General features: G+C 56.0%; 1 protein-coding gene across 16 annotated transcripts in view, besides 3 other annotated features; it reads left to right on the forward strand.

Annotated features, from left to right (window-relative positions):
- Positions 1-5,984, forward strand: part of BICDL1 (BICD family like cargo adaptor 1) — a 105,260-nt gene extending 99,276 nt beyond the window's left edge. For 8 of the 16 annotated variants that reach the window (NR_147894.1, XM_006719694.4, XM_006719696.4 and 5 more), the window contains 2 exons: positions 1,440-1,560; positions 4,489-5,984. Coding sequence is in view for 12 of the 16 variants with exons in the window: in XM_006719694.4 (XP_006719757.1) it covers positions 1,440-1,560; positions 4,489-4,650 (283 nt within the window). In the remaining 4 variants the exon portion in view is untranslated. The other 8 variants (NR_147892.1, NR_147893.1, XM_011538999.3 and 5 more) reach the window with 6 other exon arrangements.
- Positions 2,268-2,860: an enhancer, noted in NCBI's record as "H3K27ac-H3K4me1 hESC enhancer chr12:120528583-120529175 (GRCh37/hg19 assembly coordinates)". NCBI's record gives its function as "activates a minimal SCP1, AML or CMV promoter by ChIP-STARR-seq in primed H9 embryonic stem cells {active_cell/tissue: H9 hESC(primed)}" and the evidence as "EXISTENCE:reporter gene assay evidence [ECO:0000049][PMID:30033119]".
- Positions 4,286-4,929: an enhancer, noted in NCBI's record as "H3K27ac-H3K4me1 hESC enhancer chr12:120530601-120531244 (GRCh37/hg19 assembly coordinates)". NCBI's record gives its function as "activates a minimal SCP1, AML or CMV promoter by ChIP-STARR-seq in naive H9 embryonic stem cells {active_cell/tissue: H9 hESC(naive)}" and the evidence as "EXISTENCE:reporter gene assay evidence [ECO:0000049][PMID:30033119]".
- Positions 4,930-5,573: an enhancer, noted in NCBI's record as "H3K27ac-H3K4me1 hESC enhancer chr12:120531245-120531888 (GRCh37/hg19 assembly coordinates)". NCBI's record gives its function as "activates a minimal SCP1, AML or CMV promoter by ChIP-STARR-seq in naive H9 embryonic stem cells {active_cell/tissue: H9 hESC(naive)}" and the evidence as "EXISTENCE:reporter gene assay evidence [ECO:0000049][PMID:30033119]".
- Positions 5,985-6,061: the final 77 nt, after the last annotated feature.

Below are 6,061 nucleotides of genomic sequence, written 5' to 3' on the forward strand. Positions count from 1 at the left end.
ACACCCAGCTAATTTTTGTATTTTTAGCAGAGATGGGTTTTCGCCATGTTGGCCAGGCTGGTCTCGAACTCCTGACCTCAGGTGATCCTTCCACCTTGGCCTCCCAAAGTGCTGGGATTACAGGCACGAGCCACCGCGCCTGGCCACACTTTATGGGGTTTTTTTGTTTTTTTGAGACGGAGTCTTGTTCTGTCACCCAGGCTGCAGTGCAGTGGCGCGATCTGGGCTTACTGCAAGCTCCGCCTCCCGGGTTCACGCCATTCTCCTGCCTCAGCCTCGCCAGTAGCTGGGACTACAGGCACCTGCCGCCATGCCTGGCTAATTTTTGGTATTTTTAGTAGAGACGGGGTTTCACTGTTAGCCAGGATGGTCTCAATCTCCTGACCTCGTGATCCGCCCGCCTTGGCCTCCCAAAGTGCTGGAATTACAGGGGTGAGCCACCGCACCCGGCCTACTTTATGGTTTTTACTGGTGACTGTATTCCATCCCATCATTCATGACCACTTGGCTACTCTGACTAGCTAAGCTATAGTGATCACCACTGTGTGGCTATCTTCGCACACCTCTGTATCTTCAGGACAGTTCCCCTAAGGGGGATTGCTAACTACAAGGAATCCCTTCTATACCAGCAGGACAAGGTTCCTGCCTTCCAGTGGGGAATGGGCCATTTTGGGAAAGGATGAGTAGCTCCTTTATGCTGTGTGAGGCTTTTGATCCCCTCTGGGTTCCAGTCCTTATTTTAGTATTGTCCTTTTTCAACGTGTGTGTGTGTGTGTGTATGTGTGTGTGTGTGGGGTGTGACGGAGTTCTGCTCTTTCAACGTGTGTGTGGCGTGTGTGTGTGACGGAGTTCTGCTCTTTCAACGTGTGTGTGTGTGTGGTGTGTGTGTGTGTGACGGAGTTCTGCTCTTTTTGCCCAGGATGGAGTGCAATGGTGCAATCTCGGCTCACTGCAACCTCCTTCTCCTGGGTTCAAGCAATTCTCCTGCCTCAGCCCGAGTAACTGGGATTACAGGCATGTGCCACCACGCCTGGCTAATTTTGTATTTTTAGTAGAGACAGGGTTTCTCCATGTTGGTCAGGCTGGTCTCGAACCCTCGATCTCAGGTGATCCACCCGCCTCGGCCTCCCAAAGTGCTGGGATTACAGGCATGAGCCACCACACCCGGCCTCAACTTCTGTTTCTTTATCCGTGAGGTGGGGATGACAAATATTCCTTTCACCTACAGGTTGGTTATGAAAACTGGGAGAATATATGTGAAAACATGTTGCAAACTAACCCTCTGCAGGCAACATCATAGTTATTGTTGCAGCTGCTATTTGTTGTGAGTTCAGGGTCAGAGCCTGTTTCCTCATCCTGGGACTCCAGGTGCCCCAAGTAAAGACCAAGATGCCTCTGGCACAAGGTGTCCATGTTCACCCTGGCTTGTCTGTTCTCAGGAAGAATGCTGTGGAGCTGGAACTTGCCAAGTGCAGGATGGATATGATGTCTCTGAACAGCCAGTTGCTGGATGCCATTCAGCAGAAACTGAACCTCTCGCAGCAGCTGGAAGCTTGGCAGGTAAACTGGAGCCTGAGATCCAGGGCGAGAGGAGACTCCAGGAGGAATCTCTGAACCCAGGCAGAGTGTAAGGAGAGTTTGCCACTGGAGGGTTCCATGTGACTGGGTGAACAGCACATCCCAGTCTTCACCTGGCAAGATCCAGAGCTCATGTCCCCTAGTCCTTGGGGAAGAATGCTTAAGGATGCTTTTGAGCGACAGTGCCCAGGCTGCTGCTGTCTGGAGATGTAGTGATCTCCAGACTTGGAATGGGGCCCCCTTTCAGCTGGTTGTCTGGGCTTTAAGCTGGAAAGAAACAACTGGTTAACATGGAGGCCCAGGAAGCTCAGTATAATTGCATGAAAATTCACAGCGGGATGCGGCTCAGCAACCCTCCTGCAGCCAGCAGCTGCTACCCTTCCCCTTCTCAAGGGCCAGCCTCCATTTTCCAAAGAGCACTGTGCTGGCACAGGCCCTGGGGAAGAGGAGTCAGTGGGTCCCTCTCTAGACCCACTGTTTTCAGGGTCCAGCATGGCTCCCCCACTGGACTGGGCTGTGGCTGGCTGGGTTTTGTTCGTGAGGTTGAGGTAGCACAGTTTTAGGATATGGGTATAAACATTAATATTTCTCCCCAAGAATTCTCATCCAGACAGATGAAAAGCCGTCTGTGGCTTTACAAGGTAAGCCCCCCGTGGAGGGCAGGTTGTTGGTGACCATTCCTCCCAGGGCCCCATGGGGCTGGCAGCCAGAACACTGGCCCCACCGCAGGGTGCCCGTCCCTGGCTCCTTGGCTCCTGCATGGCAGCCAGCTGGCCGCGCCCTGGCTGACCGCTGCTCTCTCTCTTCTCTCCCGGCTACAGTTTGCTTCCTCAGGGCTTTTTACTATCTGGCTCCTTTGGTTTCTGATCTAGTGGCCTTTCTCAGTTCCCGTATCAACAGCTTTAGTTGTACACCCCTCCTGCCTTTGAGGTGAGCCTGAGCCCTACATCCCATCCACCGTCTCGCCCTGCCATTGCTGTGCTGCCCCGCCGCCTCCCCTCATGGCCCACTGTGTTCTGTGTGCTGGAGCCTGGCGTCATCTCTGTGCAGTGTGACATGCCCTCAAGTCCCAGCTCCCTCCTCCATCACAGTCGCGTCCAGTGAGCTCTTCAGCAGTGTGTGGCCCAGTGCTAACGGCTGGTGCCGTCTTCTCATAGATGGCTGTTCCATCCACTGAGGGACCAGCAGGCCTGGAATGATGAGCAGCGTGTGTCTGGGAAACTCTAAAGGGCGACCTGGACAGACCTGATTGCTTAAAGTTAAAAAAATGAAGTTTTCAGTGTGCCAAACAAAACATTGGCAGCTTTGAAAGGTTGGTTTTTGAAAGACCCTTTAGCATTCCTACATTGGATTTAGCGTAGATTTTACTGAGCACGTCGTAAGTGCAGGGCACTGTGCCAAGGATCATATACTAGACCCTTATAAGGAGGGACCGTGTGTTGGCAAATACCTGGCACAGTGCCAGCTCTGAGGGGCAAGTGGAAAAGGGGATGGAAGAGAAGGGAAGAAGACAAGGGCAAGGAGAAGACCAGGAATGAGCTGAGTCTGAAAGACAGGGTTGAGAGAATAGGGAGGCTGGAGAGCAGGCCCTGAGCCAGAGCGCGTGAGGGGTCCACACTCACTGCTACCCCACGATGACTCAGGAAGGCCCCTTTGTTTCATGCTGAAACCTGCAGAGATATTAGAATGACACCCATGGGTGGGAGGGAGGAGGAGTGGACAAGCTGCTCAGATGGAGGGGCCCAGCCAGCCCAACTTCATGCCCTCATCTCGTCAGTGGCTGCTCGGAACCAAAGAGGTCATCTGCCCTGGCCACAGGGAGCCTGCCCTGAACACAGGCCTCACCTGTCCTGTGCTCGGACACCACAGGCTGACTCACTCAGGGGTTTAGCCAGAAAAGCTTGGGGTCTTACCAGGATGCCGCAGAGCCTGCCAGGTTCAAGTCATGAAGGAATCGAGCAGACACATGTTACATTTACTGATGATGCTAATTACACAGGCTGCTCATATTTCTAAAGCAGGAGTTTTCAAACTTTGTTAGTGGCAGAACTTTTGTCAAATGGAGTCTTACCCAGAGTCAGAATCTAGCCACCAAAATGGGAAGGGAGTGGAGCTGCCCTGTCCACAGGCTTCTCTATGGGAAAGGCTGCTGTTCTGTAAAACATGGTGGGGCGGGCTGTGGGGAGGAAGGCATTTTCTGGACCACATGAACGAATTCGAGTTGGGGGACGGTCCTACCCCAGTGAGGAAGCTGAAAGAAATGGGCCTGATTTGGTGCAGGACAGCCCCTGAAGACCGTGAGGCCCCTGGCCTCTGCCGCAGATGGGAGCCTCAGCAGCAGGGTCTAGGGCAGCACCCAGGGCATCCTTGCCACGTGAGGCTGCCGTTGGTGCCTGGGCATCAGTAGCTCAGGCTGGAATAATTGGAAAGGAAAAGGCAGGAGGAGCCCCTGAGGCCAGGCCATTGGGCTGGGGAGCTGTTAAGCTGAGGTGGCCCTAGGGCCTGCCGGGGCTGGGGGTGGCAAGCCAAACCGGAGGCACCAGCCAGGCCCACAGGACACAGGAGGCAGAGCCGTGAGGCCTGGTCAGAGCAGGTGGAGTGCTAGTGTGGAGACTGCAGGGAGAGACCACCCGAGCCATCAGCTGAGGACTGTGGCGGCCCAGCAGGAGTAACACTGTTGAGGAGAACCCAGCCCAAGCCTGAGGAGGCTGGAGGTGCCATACGGCTCCTGCGTGCGCCTGGTGTCTTGCCCACGCTCACCGCTTTCTTGGTCAGGGCAGTCCCGGCTGCAGCCTCTCACTCATCACATTCTCATCTCTCATCTGTCTGATGTTCCCACCTCCCTGTCCAGCCCCAGGGTTAGGTGAGAGCAGCTACTCAGTCCTGGCCACTGTCCCCTCCCCTCTGCAGGATGACATGCACAGGGTCATTGACCGGCAGCTGATGGACACGCACCTGAAAGAACGGAGCCAGCCGGCTGCTGCCCTCTGCAGGGGCCACAGCGCTGGGCGGGGGGATGAGCCCAGCATCGCTGAAGGCAAACGACTCTTCTCATTCTTCAGGAAAATTTAAGTTGGGAGGAGTCAGGCCACCAAAGATGGGTGGACTGGAGGCAGCTGGAAAGGCGGTGCAGGCAAGGCCTCCCCTGCAGCTTGCACCTCAGCAGCTGCCCTGCCCCTCATGCTAGGGCCCCATGGGTCCGGGAGGGCCTGCTCCCTTTCGTCGGTGGGGATGGAGACCTAGAGGTGGGGGCCTGCCTTGGCCACTGAAGGCTTCCCTTGGCCCACCGCCTGGCCAAGCCCACGCCTGGGCTTCTCCAGGACCACGTGCTTGAGCAGGGTTAGGCCACCTCCCAGAGGGGCCCCTTGGTGTTGGGCTTTGCAGCTCACACCCAACAGATCGCAGCCCACCCCCAGGCACTGCTGCCTCCTTGATTTTAGCAAATGGGGAACAGAAGGAATGGAGGCCCTTCTCTGCATGCCTCAGGAGGCCTGAGCCCCAGGGGCCTAGACCTGTGGGGGCAGCGGGCCAGGCCTGAGCCTCCATTCCTTCCCCAGCCCCTGGCCCAGGGTCAAAGGAGAGATGGCAGCCCCTCCCCCGCATGCATGCACCTCAGCTGGCAGGAGGCCAAGCCTCTGGCCGCAGGGTCTAAGAGCCGGGGCTTACCCAAGCTCAGCTGAGGCCACCCGAGCCCCAGGGAGGAAGAAGGCCCTGTCCCCCTGTCGCCACTGCTCTCCCTCCCAGCCTTCAGTCTCTGCCCCTTAGCAGGGCCTGGCCAGGCAGAGTGTTATCACCAGTCATCTGCAGGCTTTAGCCATCCAGCCCTTTCCCCTGCTCAGGGCTGGGGTTGGACGGGGTCTCCTCCTCCCACAGCTCCCTCCTCCACCCCTCACATACATACATAATTTCTTGGCCTAGCCAAACAAGTCCAGGCCACTGAATGGCACCAGAGGGGTCTGTGGTCAGCCACCCCACCTTGAGGGCAGCACAGGCACCACGGGGTGGAGGGGAGGGGGAGGCTGCCGGAAGCCTCCAGATGCTGCCTGCCTGCCTGCAGAAGCCTGCAGTGGCTGCTGCTCCTGCCTCTGCAGCCGCCCCTCCTCCTCCACCCAGGCCCCAACTCAGAGGCTCCGCGGCCCGGCCAGCCCTCAGCTGCTCACAACCGATTCAGTCTCCCTCCCTCCCTCACGTGGGGAAAGCACAGCAGGGATGCGCGGCAAGAATGTACCTGTAGATGTGTACATACCACAGTGCTGTAATTTTGTATGTAGCAATCATGTAAATACATGTATGGATTTTATAATATACATATATAAAAATCTATAAAGGCATATTTTTAGAAAAACAGCACACCACTGCTTCTTTTGAAAATAGTCTGAATAAGAATAAAATGAATTTCTACAGAGCTTCCTGCCTCAGTCTCTGGGTATTTGCGGGGGGCGGGTTTGGTCTGAATGCAGCTGACATGTCAGACTCACCACTG

This window comes from Homo sapiens, chromosome 12 (genome assembly GCF_000001405.40).
Source record: "Homo sapiens chromosome 12, GRCh38.p14 Primary Assembly".
Lineage (NCBI taxonomy): Eukaryota > Metazoa > Chordata > Mammalia > Primates > Hominidae > Homo > Homo sapiens.